Below are 21,580 nucleotides of genomic sequence, written 5' to 3'. Positions count from 1 at the left end.
CATATACAAATCTAATAACTTTCCCAGTCATCATATTTGAAACCCCAACCTAAACAGTGCATTTGTGAAATGTAATACATGGAAAATAATGTACTTTTCCATAGAATGAATTAATTCTGTGTTGATTCCTTCATTTCAGATTTGGAAATAGTGGGATTTATTGATATAGCTGATATTTCAAGTCCCCCAGTTCTGTCCAGACATCTGGTCTTACCTATAGCACTTAACAAAGGTGAGTTCCTATTCCACTGATACGTCTGAAGCGTCTTATTAACTAAAGTTGTTCTTAAATCTTAGATAGTAGGATAGCCCATTTTGCAGAATTTAGGGGAAAGGAATAGTTACAGAATTGGATTTTAGAAAATGGAATATTGCCTAATATATCAAAAAAGTAATTCTGCTTTACATGGTAGAAACATTTTGACACATATTTACTGTGTGTTGGTTTGTGAATTGACAGTGGAGGTCCTCTTTAGAGATGAGAATGCTTAGTCCCTCATCCAGGGCTCTGCCTTTCCTAGTACTAACATGCTGAGAAAGCTTAAGTAGTTATCAGATGGTTACTTGATAAATGTGCAAGTCAAATACAGCTTTATACACGGAAGAATCACATCTGTTCTTTGTTCTACTGGTGCCCAGCACATAGTAGATAACTCAGTAAATATTGTTGAATGAATGGGTGAATCCAGGCCCTTGTGGGTCCTCCTTACTGCAGCATATATCTCTAGGAACTATAAAGTCATCTCCTCAAATTCAGCATCTCTCTGGAGAATGCTAGACTCTAACTCTTTAAAATTATCTTTTTCAGGGGTGGCACTGTGCTGTGGTGGGTATAGAGCAGGAGCTTTTGTCCCTGACTGGCTACAGGTTCAAATCCTAGTTCTACCCTTAAAATTATCTTTTCCTCTGTTTTAAGCTGACCATCCACTTTATATTTATCAGCTTTCTCTAAGAACTGTATGTAGTCAGTCAGGTTTTCACATACTGAGTAATGACCACATCCCATTTATGCCCAGGTTATCTCAGTTGGAGTATTGGATATTCTATAACCAATCACATGTTCACAGACAGAATCTTGAATATATACCCACAGACAGCTTTATAATCACTGTGTTGGTAATTATTATTCTCAGAGAACAGCCAGATTTCCCTTAGTTCTAAGGCCCTGGGGAATTCTGCATGCCAGTATACTTACCAAGAAAGAAATTAAGCAAAATAAACCATTTATATAGGGGAATAGTGAAAAGAAAAATACGGGAAGGTGGCCGGGCGCGGTAGCTCACACCTGTAATCCCAGCACTTTGGGAGGCCAAGGCGGGTGGATCACAAGGTCAGGAGATTGAGACCATCCTGACTAACATGGTAAAACCCCATCTCCACTAAAAATACAAAAAAAAAAAAAAAAAAACCTGGGCGTAGTGGCAGGCGCCTGTAGTCCCAGCTACTCGGGAGGCTGAGGCAGGAGAATGGGGTGAACCTGGGAGGCGGAGTTTGCAGTGAGCCGAGATCGCGCCACTGCACTCCAGCCTGAGCAACAGAGCAAGACTCCATCTCAAAAAAAAAAAAAGAAAGAAAAAGAAAAATATGGGAAAGCAGAGTAGGGCCATTTTGTAAGGGCTGTTGAATTTTCTAGCTAAACTGGGCTAATTCTTCCTGTTGAATTAGAAAGTCTTTGAACAAAGCAGAGCAGACAGATATTTTTAGAGGGAAGTTAATTGTAGGAAGATTCATCTGTCAGCAGAGTGTGAGAGAAACTGGAGAATCCAGTCAAAAAGCTTATAATCATTGTTTACCTTTGGGGACTCACATGCATGTGCTGCCCTAAGCCTGTTGGTTATGAATGCACTTGACATCTCTGTATCTAATTCTGTTTAAATGGGTGCCTGAAGCTTCCAGATAGCATCTAACTAAACATCCTAGTGGAACTGTGGAGAATGGATTTTTGTGTGTAAGCTTTACTGAGATATAATTCACATACCATATACTTCACCCATTTAAAGTGGTTTTTAGTATATTTGCAGAGTTGTGCAACCATCACCACAATCAATTTGAGAACTTTTTTATAACCCCAAAAAGAAACCCTGTACCCTTTAACTATCAACTCCCAGACCCCTCCCCCCATTTCCCCTACCCCAAATAACCACTAATATCCTTTCTGTATATATAGATTTGCCTATTCTGGATGTTTTATATAAATGGAATTCATATAATGTGTGGAAACTGACTTTTATGTAGATATTGGAAAACTGGAATGAGTTTTTCCTGCTTGTTATAATATTCCCTTAGAACTCTACACTATCCCTTAAAGGCTAGAAACATCCAAGAGTATAAATTGGGGTTTGGGGTTTTTGTAGGTAATTTCAGTCTGACCTGTTTTCTCTTTTTTTCACAGAAGGTGATGAGGTGGGTACTGGCATCACTGATGACAATGAAGATGAAAATTCAGCCAATCAGATTGCAGGCAAAATACCCAACTTTTGTGTCCTGCTCCATGGTAGCCTAAAAGTGGAAGGAATGGTAGCGATTGTTCAATTAGGGTAGGAAACTTTGTTTACATTTGGTTGAATGAAAGGGAAAATCATTTTACAAAGTGAAGTATTTTGCAGACTTTTCTGAAGGAAATAGAAAGGTCCTTGTCACCTTTTTCCTTTTCCTGCCACACACTTTTCCCACCTGCTACTACAGTCCTTTTTTTTTGTTTTTTTTGAGACGAGGTCTTGCTCTGTCCCCCAGGGGTACAGTGGCATGATCACGGCTCACTGCAGCTTCAGCCTCCCAGGCTCAAGCAATCCTCCCATCTCAGCCTTCCAAGTAGCCATGACCCAGGTGTGCACCACCATGCCTGGCTAATTTTTTTTTTTTTTTTTTAATTTATAGAAGTGGGGTCTCACTGTGTTGCCCACACTGGTCTTGAACTCCTGGGCTCAAGGATCCTCCCACCTTGGCCTCCCAAAATGCTGGGATTACGGGCATTGAGCCACAGTACCTAGCTGCTATTACCTTCTAAACTACTCTTTTAATCATCCCCTAGAATAAGTGTGGAGTGAGCCTTTTAATTACGTTGCCTTTATTTTATATCCTTTCTCAATTTTCCTCTTTCTAATCCTATCTAGAATACCTGGGTTCTGGTTATAGCAATGCTACTAACTTGCTTTAGGATCTTAGGCAGGATTCACAGACTTCTCATCTATAAAATGAGGGGATAGAACGAAACAAAAAAAAAGATGCTAATAACATTGAGCATTTTATTATGTGCCAGGCACTCCTCTAGGTATTTTACATATGTTAGCACATTTAATCCCTCATAACAACACTATATGGGAGGTATCAGCATTATCCCTATCTATAGATGAGGAGACAGGCTTAAGAGAGGTTGTGGAACTTGCCCAAGGTCACACAGCTAGTAATGAAAGAACCATGATTCTTACCCATGCATTCTGACTCCAGAGCCTACTCATAATCATTCTGCTGTGTTCCTTCCCTGTGAGGAAACCCCGTTAGCTTTTACATTTTCTGAAGTCTCAAAATCTGCAAAACCATCTATTTCCCTTTCTATAATACATATTTTTAGAAAAAAGGAGGTCACTGATCATTTTCTGGCCACTACCTGGGGTTGGCTGGTATAGATCAAGAGTTAGGATTAATTAAAGGAAGCATGGCTCCATTTCTGCTACAGTTAAAATTAGCTGGTCCAAAAAGAGGAATGCAGATCTTACTAGATATTAGTCTGCTATATTTCTTGGCACCCAAGCTACTTGTACTGGTCTGAATATGAGAATCATCTGGGACCCTTTGAGAAACTGGGGACAGAGTCTCTTTTACATAACAGGATGATGGCCTTGAGCCCTGTGGTAGAAGGGCTTCTCTTGGTGCTGCTGTGAGTGACTCAGTGAGGCAGGTGACAGGACCTATAGGTCACAGCCTTTACCCCTCCTCATCACCTCTCCAGCTACTTGCTGCCCTTTGTGATTTGTTTTTTCTCTTTCAAGATTGCTTTTGATTTCCATATCCACATAATTTTACCTGAATAATAATAAATGTCTCAGAAGAATGGAAATATTAGGGGACAGCAGTATGCATTTTCAGGTTTAGGGTTTGGCTTTGGTAAAAGTAGTGTGCCTGATTTCAAAGCTGAAGCCTGTGTCTCTCAAGAGAAAAATACAGGCTAGACTTATTTAACTTGACAGTCTCAGGCTTGATGTTCTTCTGATCTTCCGTCTTCTCTCCATCTAGTCCTGAATGGCATGGAATGCTCTACTCCCAAGCTGACAGCAAGAAGAAATCAAACCTCATGATGTCTCTCTTTGAGCCTGGCCCAGAACCTCTCCCATGGCTAGGGAAAATGGCACAGTTGGGTCCTATTTCAGGTATAATCCAGATCAGATTTTACTTATCCTGACTTTGTTTTCATTCTGCTGTTCTCAATGTCTCTGACTGTGCAGTCAGAGAACTGATTGATCTCCCTTACTGGTATGCCATGGTCTCGGATGATGCTGGATGTGTACGGTGAAAACTTGAAGAGAGTTTGATGTTTGAACTCCTAAATTTTACAGCTCAGGAGAAATCAACATTTAGATTGCTTTAAGTAAATGCAAATTCTTCAGCGGCTTAGAGTGAAAAACTAATCTCCATAATTTTTTTTCTTGGTGTACTATAGTTCAAGTAATTTCCTGTCATTCCTAGATAATGTAATCTTTCCTCCTTCTTGAAACTTTTTTTCTGTAGCTTTCCTGACATTGCTTCTGGTACCGATTTGACTTTTTCTTTGGCGGACTTTTCTTTCTCTCTTCGTTTTGTCTTTTCTTCTCCTTGCCTCATGGTTTCCAACATGTTCTTTGCCTTCTTCTCTTTGGTTATTCTTCTCCCTTGGTTATTTTATCAGCTGTAATAACTTCACATTTCCCAAATCTATAACTCTAGTCTTACCTGATCTCTCCCTGGAATTTGCATATCATATTTCCAGTTCCTAGTTGGATCTCTACACCTGGATATTCTGTCACAGTCTCAAGCTCAGCTGTTTGTTACAGACCTATTGTCCCGCACCCCTTTCTCCTCAAACTATTCCTCCTTCTGATTTTCCTCCTCCTTTTGATTAAGTCATTTGTGCCACTAGCTACTCAGGTTCCAACTGTAGTCATCTTTGACTCATTTGGGCCCATTTCAATTTCAGGAACATCTACCAAGCAACCTATTCTGTGCCAGGCCTAAGGGATAAAGAGTTAGCTGGAGTTGTTCAAAGTCTAGTGGAAAGTGGAATGATCACAGACTGGCACAAATCAGAGTTAGCCTGGAGGAGATGATGATGAGCTCTGCCTAGAGGACTCAGGAGAATCTTCACAGAGGAGAAATACCCTAGTTGAGTTTTGAAGAAAAGGAGGAACTTGCTGAGCTAATGAAGGGAAGAAAGGGCATCCTGGGCAAACAGAACACCTACAGAAAGAAAAGGAAGTGTGGCACAAAATGTGAGAGTGGGTGTGGGAGGGGCAGATGGTAGATTGGAGATTGGTAGTAGCTAGAGTGGAGCAGGCCTTGTCTGAAATGTGAAGAACCAGGAATTTATCTTGCAGATACTGGGAAACCACTGAAGAGGAGTAATGTGATCAGATCCTTCTGGCTACAGTGAGAACAGGGGGATACCAGTTAGGAAACTATATTTTAGGGGCTGGTGCCCCCTGCAGTTGTACAGTATGGCCATAATCCAAGTGAGAGATAAGAAATTTGTATTTAGAAAGATATCTCTGTGGAGTGTGGATCTGAAAAGGCAAGGACCTGTGGCTGAAAGTTACTGTGTTAATCCTGGAAATGTGAAGATGAGAGCCAGACCGTGGCAATAGCTGGGGGTAAAAGATATTTAGGAGGTAGGATCAATAATGTTTGGATATGAAAATTATGGAGAGAGAAGTGTTAAAATTGATCCCAGGTTTCTGACCTGGGCTGCAGGGTGAAAGATAGTACTATTAGTTGAAATAGATAATACAGAGAGAAGAGTAAATTTGGGAAGAACATATTTTGTTTATGTTGAGTTCGTGCCTGTGAGATACAGGTGGAGGTACCTAGAGACAATTCTGTAGAAGTCTGAAGTTTAGGAGAGAGGGCAGAGTTGGAGATAAAATTTTAGGTTGTAAGCCTATCATAAATAGTTAAAATGGTGAGAATGAGGGAGATTGCTCAGGGCAGTGGTTCACAAATTTTGAGTTTTTGTGTACAAAAATAAACTTGGAATAAATACCACATGTTCTCACCCATATATGGAAGCTGAAAAAAAATGAGCTCATAGAAGTACAGAGTAGAATCTAGAATCATGGTCATTAGAGGTTGGGAAGGGTAGTGAGGAGAGGAGAATAGGCAGAGGTAACAGATACAAAGTTACAGCTGTTAGGGAGGAAAAAGTTCAGTGCTCTGTAGCATGGTAGCCTGAATATTGCTCACAATAATTTAGTGTATATTTTCAAACAGCTAGAAGAGAGGATTTTGAATATTCACAACACAAAGAAATGATAAATATTCAGCCAGGTGTGGTGGCTCATGCCTGTAATCCCAGTACTTTGGGAGGCCAGGGCAGGTGGATCACTTGAGTCCAGGAGTTTGAGACCAGCCTGGCCAACATAGCGAAACCCTATCTCTACCAAAAATACAAAAATTTGCTGGGCATGGTGGTGTGCACCTGTGGTCCCAGTTACTCAGGGGGCGGAGGTGGAAGGATCGCTTGAGCCCAGGAAGCAGAGGCTGCAGTGAGCCCTGATTGCATCGCTGCACTCCAACCTGTCTGGCCCTCACAGAAAAAGTTTGCCAACCTCTGACTAGACTATTGTGATGGTTTTCACCAAAGATGCCTATCTATAATCTAAGATAGTAGTAGCATTCAGACTCCTTTCTGATCTGGCTTCCAACATAGCAACACTTGGCTTGTTACAATTGTTCTTCATTCCAGTTGAACTGCTGTTCACTCTGCCCTGTGTTCATGTTGTTTTTTCCTCCTGGATCTGTTCTGCTTTTCAGTGTGGATAATAATAGCTAATATTATAATGAACTTAACTTTGTGCCAGGCACTGTGCTGGACATAATGAGCATACCATCTCATTTAACTCTCACAGCAGTCTTGGAATTGGAATTATGATAACAAATAACAATTAATAATAAAACTTACCTCAGAGGGTTGTTGAGCAAAACATGCAAAATAGCACTATTGTTTGTACCAATCCCTCCTACTCCCAATTCTGTTCCTAGAGACAACTACTTTTTAAAACTTATTTGTTTCTTTTGGTATTTATTTATATTTCTTTTTTTTTTTTTAATTGAGACAGAGTCTCACTCCATCGCCCAGGCTGGAGTGCAGTGGAGCAGTCTTGGTTCACTGCAACCTTCACCTCCCAGGTTCAAGCAATTCTTCTGCCTCTGCCTCCCTAATAGCTGTGACTACAGGCACAAGCCACCATGCCCGGCTAATTGTTGTATTTTTAGTAGAGATAGGGTTTCATCATGTTGTTGGTCAGGCTGGTCTCAAACTCCTGACCTCAAGTAATCCTCCTGCCTCGGCCTCCCAAAGTGCTGGGATTACAGGCGTGAGCCACTCTGCCCAGCCTTATTTACATTTCTAAATAATATAGGTATGTCCCTATTTCTGTCAGGGGTTCCCCCATTTTATTATTATTATTATTATTTTATTTATTTATTTTGAGATGGAGTCTTGCTCTGTTGCCCAGGCTGGACTGTAGTGGCGTGATCTCAGCTCACTACAACCTCTGCCTCCTGTATTCAAGCAATTCTCGTGCCTCAGCCTCCCCAGTAGCTGGAACTGCAGGTGTCCACCACCACGCTTGGCTGATTTTTGTATTTTTAGTAGGTACGGGGTTTCACCATGTTGGCCAGGCTGGTCTCAAAACTCCTGACCTCAAGTGATCCTCCCGCCTTGACCTCCCAAAGTGCTGGAATTACAGGCACGAGCCACTGTGCCCGGCCTCCCGTCTTATTATTTTTTATTTATTTTTTGAGACAGGGTCTCACTCTGTCACCCAGGCTGAAGTGCAGTGGCACAGTCTTGGCTCACTGCAGCCTTGACCTCTCGGGTGATCCTCCCACCTCAACCTCTCATGTGGCTGGGACCACGGGTGCATGCCACCATGCCTGGCTAATTTTTTTGATTTTTTTATAGAGACAAGATCTCACTATGTTGCCAAGGCTGGTCTCAAACTCCTGGGCTAAAGCAATCCTCCACCTTAGCCTCCCAAATTGTTGGGATTACAGGCGTGAGCCACCACACTCAGCCCTTTTCCCCCATTTTAGATGCCATTTTTTGACTTTTTAAAGGATGAATATTTAGCTCTATTAACACCACCATCTCCCACCCACCTACACAAGACGCACATTTCCCCTCCTACTATCCTCCCAATATAGTTATAATGTTCTTTTTGGTTAAATCAGTATTCAGTCCTTGTTACATGATGTAAATGTTATTTACAACTAAGCTATACCAATTTGTATTTCCTTTGTTTTGCAACTTTTTGTCCCCTAGCTCAGTCCCAGTTATTTTTTTTCTTTGCTTGTTTTCTATATAACTAATTCCTCCCTAAGTAAAATACATTCTTCAGGTATTTTCTCAGTTTCCTTTTTTTTTCTTAGCGTCATCTCCCATCCTCCTGCTTCATAAATGGTATGGTTATTCCCCAGACCTGTTGCATAGGTGTTGTCCTGAGTCTCCCCTTTACATCTCTCCTATGGATCTCCTGTTCATAACTCCTCCTGAAAAAAAGGGTACATGGGAAGTAAATATTTTGAAATCTTGTATATTTTGAAAATATATATATGTTTATTTCATTCTTTATATTTAATGATAGTTTGGTTGGGAATTGAGTTCTAAGTTGGAAGTCATTTTCCCTCAGAGTTTTGAAGCATTACTCTGTTGTCTCTTCTGGAGTCCAGTGTTGCTACGGAAAGTTAGTGCCATGGTGACTCAAAGACCTTTGACCCTGAACTGTATTTTCTCCATATTCCTTGGTGATCTTCTTTGTATCCCTGGTATTCTGAATTTCAGAATGTTGGTCTCTTCATTGATTTTGCTAGGCACTCAGTGGACCCTTTCCATCTGGCAATTCATGATCTTCAGTACTGGGAAGATCAATTATTTCTTTGATTTCCTCTTTCTGTATTCTCTGTTCTCCTTTTCTGGAACATATATTTGTGATTTGTGTTTGTAATTTTCTATCTCTTTCTGCCCATTTTCCCATTTTTAAAATTTTTGTTCTGTCTTCTGTATCTTCAAATTTATCTTATAACTTTTATTTTTTGTTTATACTATCTTTTTAAAATTTCTTCTTTCATAAATGTAATATTTCCTGTCTCCTAAGCCAGTTAGTTACCACATATAGGCTCCAGACAACTAATGACAGTACAAAATAGGCTCTGATTAGATGTTGAAATGTTTGGTACTGATACTAAGTGCTAGGGGATAAAAGGGTCTACAAAAACCACTATCTGCCAGAAAAACTTGAAACAATTTCATGGAAGGGGTAAGATAGGATCTGGACTTGGAATATAGGTAGGTAAGTTTGGATAAGTAAGGAACAGCAGTGTTGAATGGTGGAAAAAGTGTTGGCTTTTGAAGCAGGCCCAACTGAGTCACTGTGAAACCTTGTATAAGTCCAACCTCTCTGTGCCTTAGTTTCCTCATCTTTAATGGGACTAATAACATCTTCGCTCTAGAGTTGCTATAAAGAGAGAAGTTGAATATGTAAAGTATCTTGCACATAGTTGGAACTTAATAAATATTCTTTATTCTGTAAGTTCCTTGAGGCTGAAAAGTATCTTCTCTAGGCACAATTCCTGGCACAGTGCTTGCTACGTAGTGGGGTCTTACTATAGATAATGAATGAATAAGTGAATGAGTAAATGAGTGAATAAGAAGGGAGAGCATTCTAGGCAGTGAGGAGTAATAGAAATAGCAGGAAAGTTGGAAATGAACTGTTGTGTGGGAAAGGACTTGCAGGACCTTAGCCTGACTCAGAAGGTTTATATATTGACAAATATTAATGGAAATACGTCTGGAGAGTTGGGCCAGTATTTTATGGAGGAGTCAGGGCTGAAGAGGGTTGACAAAGGAAGTGTTGGTCCAATATCAAGGTGTTTCAATTAATGACCAAATCAGGGATAGAGAATGTCTGGCTCAATTAGACAGACTGGTCTAATTACATTTTTCAACACAAACTTTTGGGCAAGAGATTTAAGTTCTCTGAACTTGTAGGAAAATGACTCCTGCTCTGTCTACACGAGAAGGTGGTAATAATAATAAAGATCAAATACACCATTAGAAGTATGTGTGCTTTATAAGTTTGTGGCAGTTTCATAGACTCAGGAAGCAGGTACAGAGACAAACCCTGTTTGTTCATGTAGCTATAAAACCAATGTGGCTTTACATTTTTGGAAGCAATAAACTAATAAGCCATATTGGGGTATGCTTCACCAATAAAAGTATTTCTTGTCTTGCCCTTTGCCTTAATTTGGCTATATATATAGTTTTCCTTTTTAATTATTTTAATGCCTAGACCTATGCTGTCTAATCCAGTAGCTACTAGCCACATTAAATTTAATTAAAATTAAGTACAATTTGAAATTCAGTTTCTCAGTCACACTAGCCACAGGGCAAGTGCTTAGTAGTTAGTAGCTACCACATTAGACAGCACAGATATAGAACATTTCCATCATACAGAAAGTTCAGTTGGAGAGCACTGGGTTAGACTATATAGAATTGCAGTATATATATGTGTGTCTATGTGTATGTATATATATATATATTTTTTAAATATGTATTTGTTTTATCCTTTGACCTTAATTTATAAATCAGATAAGTGAAGCTTGTTTCTTTAAAAACATTAAGCTGTTTTTCACTTAAATGGGCCTCCTACATCAGTGGCTTTCTATTGAGAACAGGTTCTCCAACCTGACTGAAGTTAATGGATTTTCTTAATTAACAAAGTGATAGGATATCAAAGATTGAGTGATTCAAAGAGCTTCTAGTCTAAATGGAAATGTAACTGATTGTGTTTTACCAGATGTCATTTCAAGAATGTCTTTTCTTTTAAGATGCTAAAGAAAACCCTTATGGCGAGGATGACAATAAGAGTCCATTCCCCCTGCAGCCCAAAAACAAACGCAGTTATGCCCAGAATGTGACTGTCTGGATCAAACCCAGCGGCCTGCAGGTAACATTACCATTTATGTTGCTTTCCACTGGGGACAGGAGACATTTGGGTAGGCAGGCAGGCATTTTATTTGATTTTCTTTTCCTTTGATACTTAGTAATTCATTTACTTCTAATGTTTGTCATTATTTCCAAAAGGGATTTGAGATGCCCTACAGTAAAACATGTATATAGCAAAATCATTTTTTACAAAATTTAGAGCAATAAGAATCCTAGAGGAAGGAGGAAGAAGGAAGACAATTGTGCCAGGAACCCAAGGCAAAATAATAACTTTATGTGAGTGTTTTGGCTCTGAGCTTCCTGTTACCAAGGTCAGTTGTTCTTGTCTAAAGAAAGGAAATTTGTCAGTTTGTCTAGAGAGACATATTTTCCTGGCATTGAATTTTAGTGTGAAATTTTTTATATGGTGAGGCATTGACTAACATAATGGGTATTGGCTTTAACAACAGTTTTGGAAAAGATGTAAAAGTCTTCATAACTATATTTCTTCCATCCCTTCAGTAGAACTCAAGCCATAGCATTACATTTCACAAAAACACTTCCATAGGAAGTTATGATAATATGATTATCAAGGAATGATGCTTTCAGGCATGGTATTCAGGAACATATGATAATATGATTATCAAGGAATGATGCTTTCAGGCATGGTATTCAGGAACATTTCTCCTTTCATCAGCAAAAAGTCATTTATACCTGTTTTTAAAAATCACTTATTGAAACTTTTTTCTCCTTTGAGCACCTTTATTTACATTTGTTCTTCCAGTAAGTTCAACCTAAACCAAATGAGAAGAGACAGGCCACTTGGACAACAAAAGTAGTTTCTGTTGACTGCACAGTCTCTGAGCCCCGTTTCCATGGAGACTGAACCACATCCTGCCAAGGCTAAAGTGTCAGGGGCCTCTTTGTTGGAAAATCAGGGTCTTCTATTTTCCTGATATCCCTGACCCCAGTGCTTCCTTGTCAGAGGGATATTAGAACCACTTTCACCACCAGTTATAGCTGAGCTTTTCTTAAATTATTTTTTTTAATTTTTTTTGTTTGAATCTTCACTACTATCTTGGGTTTATTTTTCTTATTCTGGTAAAATATACATAAAATGTACCTTCAACCATTTTAAAGTACACAATTCAGTCCCATTTAGTACATTCACAATGTACCATCACCACTCTCTAGTTCCAGAACATTTTAATCACTCCAAAAGGAAACCCTGTGCCCATTAGGAAAGTCACTCCACATTCCTTCTTCCGGGCCCTGGCAACCATTGATTTTCTTTCTGTCTCTATGGACTTACCTATTCTAGATATTTCATGTAAACAGAATCATACAATTTGTGGCCTTTTGTGTTTGACTTCTTGTACTTAGCATGATGTTTTCAAGGTTTATTCATGTTGTAGTATGTATCAGTACTTCATTCCTTTTTATGGCTAATATTCCATATGTCTATATGTATATGTCACATTTTGATTATCCCTCAGTTGACGGACATTAGGGTTACCTTTTGGCTATTGTGGATAATGCTGTTACAAACATTCATGTATAAGTTTTGGTCTGAACATTTGTTTTCAATACTCTTGGGTATATATTTTAATGGGAATGGGATTGCTGGGTCAGACAGCAATTCTCTTTAACTTACTGAGGAATTGCCACACTCTCTCACAGCAGCCACACCATTTTACATTTCTGCTAGCAGTGTATAAGTGTTCTAGTTTCTCCACGTTCCTACCAATACTCATTGTTTTCCTTTTATTATTATTATCATATAGCTATCATAGTAGGTGTGAAGTGGTATGTCTTTGTTTTTGCATTTCCTTGATGACCAATAATGTGCATCTTTTCCTGTGCTTATTGGCCATTTGTGTATATTATTTGGAGAAGTATATACTCAAGTTCTTTGTCCATTTTTTAATTGGGTTTGTCTTTTTGTTGTTGGGTTTTTTATATATTCTGGATATTATGATCCTTAGCAGATACATGATTTGCAAATATCTTCTCCCATTTTGTGAGTTATCTTTTCACTCTCTTTATAGTGTCCTTTGATACACAAAGTTTTTGGTTTTGAAGAAGTCAAATTTTGTCTCTTGCTTTTGTTGTTTGTGCTTTGTGCTGTCTTAACTAAGAGATCATTGCCAAATCCAAAGTCATAAAGATTTACCCGCTGTGTTTTCTTTTTCTTCTTCTCTTTTTCTCTTGAGAAACACATCTCACTACGTTGCCCAGGCTGGTCTCAAACTTCTGGCCTCAAGCAATCCTCCTGAGTAGCTAGGATTACAGGGGCACACCACTGCACCTGGCCCGTTTTTTTCTAAGAGTTTTATAGTTTTAGCTTTTACATGTAGGTCTCTGATCCATTTTGAGTTAGTTTTTTGTATATGGTATGATGTAAGGGTCCAACTTTATTCTTTTGCTTGTGGATATCCAGTTGTCTCAGCACCAAATGTTGAAGAGACTATTTTTTCCCCATTGAATCGTCTTTGCAAAAAAGTCCCTGGCAATAGATGTATGGGTTTACTGGGTACATTTTTATGAGGCAAGTTCGTTTCTGTCAGGGGATTTATTTTACTGTCAAGCCTTTTGAAGGAGGGAGTGCTTTACTAATGTTGAACTGACATTAACTCAGAAGGGATCCTCATCTTGACATTGTAGCTGTGTTCTCATTTTCATCTCTTTAAACATTTAGATCCATTCTTTTATATTATTTCCCTTTTTTACCACAGAATTCTAATGTTGGATTTTTTTTTTTACCCTTAATAGACAGATGTACAGAAGATTTTAAGAAATGCAAGGAAACTACCTGAAAAAACACAGACATTCTATAAGGTGAGACAGACAGAAGAGGATGTGCCCAAAATATATGGTTCACGACAGTAAAACTGTGAGATGGCAGTGTGAATATGGGCAGGGGTTAGAGATGTATGACTTGTGCCTCAGTTTTTTCAAATAAACTCAGTAAAAGTGATAGGTCTGTTCCTTCCCTAAAATCCAAGAATTGGAAGAATTTAAATGGCCTAATTCTGTACAGGCAGAAGGTTTTTCTGTGTTGGGGCTGCTGTGAATGAATGACTGATGGAAGCAGCTTAGAGGACCTGTGGGTCATAGCCCTGAACTCTCCTCATCACTCCTATATGGGTATCCAGGCCAACCCCAGGCAACCAATGTATGTGGCTTCCTGGATGGGGAATTGCCCAGAACATTCTTTTTTTTTTTTTTTTTTTTTTTTTTTTTTGAGATGGAGTCACACTCTGTTGCCCAGGCTGGAGTGTCGTGGTGCAATCTTGGGTCACTGCAACCTCTGCCTCACAGGTTCAAGTGATTCTCCTGCCTCAGCCTCCTGAGTAGCTAGTACTACAGGCACGTGCCACCACGCCCAGCTAATTTTTGTTTTTTTGTTTTTGAGACAGAGTCTCACTCTGTCGGCCAGGCTGGAGTGCAGTAGCACGATCTCAGCTCACTGCAACCTCCGCCTCGCGGGCTCAAACAATTCTCCTGCCTCAGCCTCCCAAGTAGCTGGGATTACAGGTGTGTGCCACCATGCCCGGCTAATTTTTGTATTTTTAGTAGAGACGGGGTTTCACCATGTTGGCCAGGCTGGTCTTGAACTCCTGACCACAGGTAATCCGCTCGCCTCGGCCTCCCAAAGTGCTGGGATTACAGGCGTGAGCCACCGTTCCCGGCCTAATTTTTGTATTTTCAGTAGAGATGGGGTTTCGCTGTGTTGGCCAGGCTGGTCCCGAACTCCTGACCTCAGGTGATCCACCCAAAGTGCTGGGATTACAAGCGTGAGCCACCCCACCTGGCCACCCCAGAACATTTTTATTGCACCAGAGACTCTGCTTCTAGGAATGATATCTAACATTACACATTTATGAATTGCAGAGGAGATAGCCCTGCAGAATCATATGCAGCTAATCCAGAACGATTGGTGAAGAGACTGTTAAGTTACAGGGGGTGGGGTAGAGTGGGGAACATTTAGGTTTGCTCCTTGATTCTCCCCTATTGTTCTGGTGTTTGGCTGGAATTAAATTAAGTGCAGCATAAAGTATGTCATTTGTGTCTTAGCTTTCTAATTCTAAAATGTGGCACACACAGCCAGCCTTAGGCTAGCATCTTAACCAGAGAAGATACATGCTACTTTGTCTGGGTGTTATCTCATTACCTTTATGTCACTGTTGTCTTCAAACTTAATTATGTAGTAAGCTGGTGAAATAAAACAGCTTTAATCAAGAGTTCAACTGGAGAGCTTCTTAGCCAGCCAGGCCCCTCCCTAAACTGAAGCCCATAATCCACACAGTCCATCCTCCCTGCAGAGCTTCCTACAGTCATCAGCTATTTACTCATGATGACACACTTGTTTGGCCTTCTTCTTAACTTTCCACTTTTTTAACAGATGATAGTAGAAAGATGGTCAGAGAGCCCATTTCTCTTTTCTGGTTTTATATAATGCTACATATTAGAGCTCAAAAGGGCCTAGGGAAAGTGCTTCAGCCTCTGCAGTGGGTAAGGAAGGGGTTATTCTCCTCATTTTATAAATGAGGCCTTTGAGACCCAGAGAGGCTATATAACTTGCCCAGACCACTCCACTAAGGGGTTGTTGGGGCACTTCATATTTCTCTGCTTCTATCAGTAACCAGCCTTTCTTTTTGTTGGTCTTTCCACTCTGACTCCTCCAGGGCCTCCTCTTGAGCCTGTTTATTGTCTTAGCCTGAGGCCCCACCACAGTGGCATCAGAGGGTTAAGAGCGTTTTCAGATTGAGGGCAAGTCTTTTCCATACCTAAATAACAGGGGAAAAGTACTCCTCCTTAAAGTTAGGAGTAACGAAATGATGGATGCAAAGTGCTGACTACCACATGTGGCATAAATGCTCATTAACTGTGATGATGACGTTGTTTCATTCAGCTGTCTTCCTTAGCCTGCTTCTGGTCACCTGCAGAGGAACCACTTCCCAGTAAAACCATCACATTCTTGTTACTGGCATCCCTAAATAAACATTTGTTCTCATATAAAATTGCTCCCTAAAGTTCAGTCAAGGAGAACTTATGCTAAGCTGAGCACTTAGAAAGTATGTGTTAGGAACACATTTCAGGAGCATTGGTGATTTTCTGTCTTGTTTCAGGAGCTGAACCGTTTGCGAAAGGCCGCTCTAGCCTTTGGTTTCCTGGACCTGCTGAAAGGGGTGGCTGACATGCTGGAAAGGGAATGCACACTGCTGCCTGAGACAGCCCACCCTGATGCTGCATTCCAGCTGACCCATGCTGCCCAGCAGCTCAAGCTGGCCAGTACCGGCACCTCTGAGTATGCCGCTTATGACCAGAACATCACACCTTTGCACACGGACTTCTCTGGGAGCAGCACTGAAAGAATTTGAAACTGACTTTTGGAGCTTTCCTTCTTTTTTCATTTCAACTGAAAATGCTTTAGGTAAAAACCTTTCCAGTATGTTCACCTCTAGAATAGCCACCCAAAGACCTTCCTGAGGCTGCCTCAGAAGCACCACTTGCTGTTTTGAATGACTCTACTAGTATGAGAAGGATGTGAAGGTGGTTGGCTGGTTGGGCTTTAACTTCCTGGGATTCATAATTTTTAAGCTTGGAAGATAGCTGCTGTTCCCATGATGGGCACATTTCCTGAGAAGCTTGAATGACTGATGAGCATAGAGCACCCCTGCCTTCCTCAGGAAACCTGACCGGCAGGGGCTCTCTGGCTTCCTGAAAGCTTCACCTCTTCCCTCGTTTATATCTCAACTGTAAGGGCATTTTCAAGCTTCTGTTCATGGAATGAGCAACTCAGACTGTCTGGAGCTTGCTGAGTACAAACACACCACCACTAAGTTTCAGAACTTTCCTTAGAACTTGGGCAAAATGTGGTGGTAACTCTTAAGTGCTTTTGGTATCTCTTGAGATTCTAACTTTTAAAGAGCAACCATTAATGTGTAAAATGATTCCTATTATTCAAGGTTTTTTTTTAATGAAAATAAAATATTTGATTTTCTAGAAAATGGTTTCACTATGAAACTAAAGGTCGTTTGCTTTTGGTCTGTCTTATCACTTTAATATAATTTCAACTTTCTAAGTGGCATAGATTCATAAATCATGAGGTTTCCTTATTTCTGACACTGATTAGGCCTCATTGCCTAAGCAAGGTTCTGGCTAGGTAATCCTGACAGATCACCGATCCGATTCCAAAGTTAATTATGGTTCCAATTTATCAGCTAGCTTTATGACTTTGGGCAACTTCTCAAGGCTTTGTCTGCATCATCAGTGTTTTTCATTTGCACCACCTTCCATGTAACTCTCAGGCTTCAACCAGAGCAACTGTTTTTGGTTTAACATGCTGAACTGCTACATAATATTTTGCCTGAACAAAGGTCTTTATCACTAACAGAGAACCATTAGACTAAATTATCTTTAAGCACAGTCATTAGAATTTTGATTGTAAATGTTTTAATAGAAATACACAATCTTTCACTTTCTCAGACAGCAATAAAGGGGTTTGTAACAATCACTAAGAATACAGAATTTTGCCACGAGGATGCAGCATAATCTACTGCAAAGCTGATCTGCCCAATTACACGTAGTCAGCTGCAAGAATATCAGAAATCAATACAAACAAGTATTGACAGGTGTTACAGACATGCAAAATATCCTTCAATGCAACGAATTTTTAAGAAATCAGCTAGCCTATATTAATCAGATGTTTTAGGTCAAACCAAGTTTCCATCTTGGGCTCAGTGAAATAGTATTAACTCATTGAGTCTCCTTTCCCCCAGGAATGTTGGGAATGGCAGAACAGAAAGAGCTATCACTCCTTAAATTCTTTTATGCAAGTGTTACTCCAACACTTATTTTACTTGGTTTACTTGGAATGTATGAGAGGAAACTGATGTTTTTTACAATGGCCAACTGTATGTCTAAATTTTCAGTTCTCCTTTTTGTGAGTTTCCTGCCAGAAATCCTTGTTAAAGGATCAGCGGGTGTTCACCCCGAAGTTCTTGCTGTTTTCAGTGTCCTACTGCAGACAGGTTTAAAAAGCCAACTGAACAGCAGCAGAATGAAGTATTTTTGAGGTCTATTCAAAAATGTACAGTCCCACCACTCACTAGAACAAGTACACAAGTAAATGGACTCAGCCAGTGCAGGAGATGGAAGGCTGCCATTTTTTATGTTTGTGCACAGCCTTACAGTTTGGAGGTGTGTTTGGCCTACTCTAATATTTCTAGTTTGTCAAAGGCTGTACACTGTTACTGCCAGTTTGACCTACATACTGTGTTCCCTTTGGATCCCTGCTACCATTTGGACCTCGTGTGTGTGTGTGTGTATGTGTGTTTGTGTGTGTGTGGTTTGGTTTGGTTTGAGACAGGGTCTTGCACTGTCACCCCAGCTGCAGTGCAGTGGCACAATCTCGGCTCACTGCAGCCTTGACCTCCTGAGCTCAGGATCCTCCCATCTCAGCTTCTTGAGTAGCTGGGACAACAGGTGTGTGCCATCACACCCAGCTAATTTTTTTATTTTTTGTAGAGATAGGGGTCTCACTACGTTGCCCAAGCTGGTCTTGAACTCCTGGCTTCAAGCGATGCTCCCACCTAGGTGTCCCAAAGTGCTGGGATTACAGGTGTGAGCCACATTCCTGGCTGAGTTTGGAACTTGTAATCTCATTGTTTTCTAAATAATGTTTCATTTTTCTTCAGTGTTGAAAATAGTTGATTTACTTAAGAATGGCATGATCATGATGTTCCAAGATTCTGATTAGTTTCTTTCAAAGCATTCTGCGCCTCTTCAATGCCCACACTGCTGAGCACTATAATAATAGATGTTGTTAGGCCAAAGGATGTCAGATGTAAAGTATGTTCTCTAGCCCCACTCTTAGAAATGTTTTATCAATGACTCAGTCCACTTGATTTTCAAAAAGTCAATGCCATCCCATTAAACAAGTAACCCCTTAGGTACAGAATAATTAATTCCTGCCTGAGTCACTTTAACAGCCTTCTATAGAGTGACATAGTCTTGCTTTTTTTCACAAGCAATAGCTGAAAAGAACAAATCTCAACTGTAAGAACTGTCAGTACATTGTAGGGATAAAGCACTTTTTGAAAAAAAAATCTCTGGCATGTATTAGACAGACTGAACATGAGATAGGGTTGGGGTGGGCTGAGCCTTTTGGTGTCATTAACTGAATACACAAGAATGAACCTCTCATCAGATATCAGGAATCCATGTCATGCAAGTACTACAATAAGATAACAGTAAATTCAGGAATGTTACTGGGGAAAAGGAAGATAGCCTCACTGAGAATTTAATCATTTAACATTAAAAAAACTTTTACATTGGTTCAAGAAGGTAAAACTGTAAGAATCAGATTAGGCTCAAACTGGCAAGAAGCCATCTAAATCTTTCTTTTTAGTGGATCTTTTTCTTTTTTTGTCCATAGCGCCGTCTGCGCTGTTTATAAAGGTGACGAAAATTTATGTATAAACCTGAAAAAGAAAAGAGGTCAATTAGAAATTAGAGTCTTTGTCTATTTATAACCAGAAGCTCTTGTGGCAGGGACAGTATCTAGCTGTCGTCATATTCCACAGCAAAAAGCTTATTGCAGCGGCTCAGGAAGGAGTACAATTTAGAACAAATTAACAATACAATAGACACAAAGCAATTTTTCCCCAGTGGGTTTATTTATTTATTTATTGCGACAGGGTCTCATTCTGTCACCCAGGCTGGAGTGCAGTGGCACAATCTCAGCTCACTGCAACCTCCGCCTCCTGGGTTCAAGCAATCCTCCTGCCTCAGCCTCCTGAGTAGCTGGGATTACAGGCGTCCACCACCATGCCTGGCTAATTTTTTGTATTTTTAGTAGAGGTGGGGTTTCACCATGTTGGTCAGGCTAGTCTCAAACTCCTGACCTCAAATGATCTGCCCAGCTTGGCCTCCCAAAGTACTGGGATTACAGGCGTAAGCCACCACACCCAGCCTCCCAGTGAGTTTAAAACATTTTTTTCTCTTATAAAATTTTCAAACACGCAAAAGATTAAATCATTATACAGGGAACATCTAGATTTACTGCTTTTTACTATATTGGCTATATCACATCCCTATTCATCTATCCCTCCAGCCATCTCATTTTTTATGCACTTCAGTGTTAAGTTGCAGATATCAATACACCTCACCCCCCTAATTCTTCAGGTAGGTATAGTTCAATATTCTTTCTTTCTTTTACAGTAAAATTTACAATGAAATGCACAAATCTAAAGTGCAGAAACAACCTAATTTTTAATTCAAGCCTACTCAAGAACATGGCCAGGCGTGGTGGCTCACGACCGTAATCTCAGCACTTCGGGAGGCCAAGATGGGTGGATCACCTGAGGTCAGGAGTTTGAGACCAGCCTGGCCAACATTGTGACGCCCCATCTCTACTGAAAATACAAAAATCAGCCAGGCATGGTGGCAGGTGCCTGTAATCCCAGCTACTCCGGAGGCTGAGGCAAGAGAATTGCTTCAACCCAGGAGGTGGAGGTTGCAGTGAGCCAAGATCGTGCCACTGCACTCCAGCCTGGGTGACAGAGCAAGACTCTGTCTCAAAAAAAAAAAAAAAAACTAAAAAGTCCTTTGACCTATATACAAATGTTAACTGGCTGTTTACACTGCTTCAAAATTATAAATGTGAAATTAGGATTTATTTCATTCTAAAGAATAAGAAAAGAGCAACTACATATTCACTATAAGCAAAGTAGATATGAACATAAAATCTTGCAAATTAGAGTGTACAATATAAACAACACAAAAAAAGATACTAAGTCAATGCACTTTAAAATATTTCTACCCCTCTACCCTGTTCACTAAAATATTTTAAATGTCTTTCCAATATTTATTCCTCTTTATCTTATGCCCATTTCATGGGGCCTAGTTATACTGAATTTATACAGTAATAAAGGTAAAAAGCTGTCTTTAATTAGTACATTTTCTGAACTGAGGGTTCCTCTCTTCAAGGGCAAAACATTTTAATATTTTTGGTTGGCAATATTTCTGAAATGGATTATACCCTTTGCTGAAACAGAAAAAAAGAAAGAAATTTTAACCTTTTGCAAATGACGTGGGCCTACAATGTATACTATTTAACTGTACATCTGCCAGGCACTGGCACACTAAGGGGCTCCTAATACTATGGTATAAGTCTCTCCTCCCGCAACACTAAATGACCAAGACCACTGGGCTTTCTGGCTTCCTGGGCTTACCTTGCGTGGTCTTCCTCTCACTGTCTGGGGTAGCAAGCCGTGACAATGATCCCAACAACCTCTATCTCCTGTTATTTCATACCTTTGTGTAGTCCCCTCCCATGTTATACTGGGTTGGTCTGTGTGATGATTTGTCACTTCTGAGATTAGGCACTGTGGCTTCGGG

The 21,580-nt window shown here is 40.1% G+C and overlaps 2 protein-coding genes across 12 annotated transcripts in view, besides 2 other annotated features; one reads left to right on the top strand and one right to left on the bottom strand.

Annotated features, from left to right (window-relative positions):
• INTS14 (integrator complex subunit 14) overlaps positions 1-17,208 on the top strand; it is a 32,375-nt gene extending 15,167 nt beyond the window's left edge. For 9 of the 10 annotated variants that reach the window (NM_001207059.4, NM_001366360.3, NM_001136043.4 and 6 more), the window contains 6 exons: positions 140-232; positions 2,393-2,537; positions 4,234-4,367; positions 11,077-11,195; positions 13,946-14,011; positions 16,306-17,208. In NM_001207059.4, coding sequence (NP_001193988.2) covers positions 140-232; positions 2,393-2,537; positions 4,234-4,367; positions 11,077-11,195; positions 13,946-14,011; positions 16,306-16,557 — 809 coding nt within the window. In that variant the 3' untranslated portion in view covers positions 16,558-17,208. The remainder of the gene's footprint in view (positions 1-139; positions 233-2,392; positions 2,538-4,233; positions 4,368-11,076; positions 11,196-13,945; positions 14,012-16,305) is intronic. The other variant, NM_001207058.4, reaches the window with a different exon arrangement.
• Positions 16,513-17,091: an enhancer, noted in NCBI's record as "NANOG hESC enhancer chr15:65871212-65871790 (GRCh37/hg19 assembly coordinates)". NCBI's record gives its function as "activates a minimal SCP1, AML or CMV promoter by ChIP-STARR-seq in primed H9 embryonic stem cells {active_cell/tissue: H9 hESC(primed)}" and the evidence as "EXISTENCE:reporter gene assay evidence [ECO:0000049][PMID:30033119]".
• Positions 16,660-16,954: a silencer, noted in NCBI's record as "tiled region #9623; K562 Repressive non-DNase unmatched - State 17:Gen3'". NCBI's record gives its function as "represses a minimal TATA promoter and a strong SV40 promoter by Sharpr-MPRA in K562 cells {active_cell/tissue: K562}" and the evidence as "EXISTENCE:reporter gene assay evidence [ECO:0000049][PMID:27701403]".
• A 407-nt stretch (positions 17,209-17,615) lies between the features above and the next one.
• Positions 17,616-21,580, bottom strand: part of HACD3 (3-hydroxyacyl-CoA dehydratase 3) — a 47,887-nt gene continuing 43,922 nt past the window's right edge. For both annotated transcript variants that reach the window (NM_016395.4, NM_001411136.1), the window contains exon 11: positions 17,616-19,662. In NM_016395.4, coding sequence (NP_057479.2) covers positions 19,586-19,662 — 77 coding nt within the window. In that variant the 3' untranslated portion in view covers positions 17,616-19,585. The remainder of the gene's footprint in view (positions 19,663-21,580) is intronic.

The sequence above is a fragment of the Homo sapiens genome, chromosome 15, assembly GCF_000001405.40.
Source record: "Homo sapiens chromosome 15, GRCh38.p14 Primary Assembly".
In the NCBI taxonomy this organism is placed as follows: Eukaryota; Metazoa; Chordata; class Mammalia; order Primates; family Hominidae; genus Homo; species Homo sapiens.
This window is presented reverse-complemented; position numbering and strand designations above follow the sequence as displayed.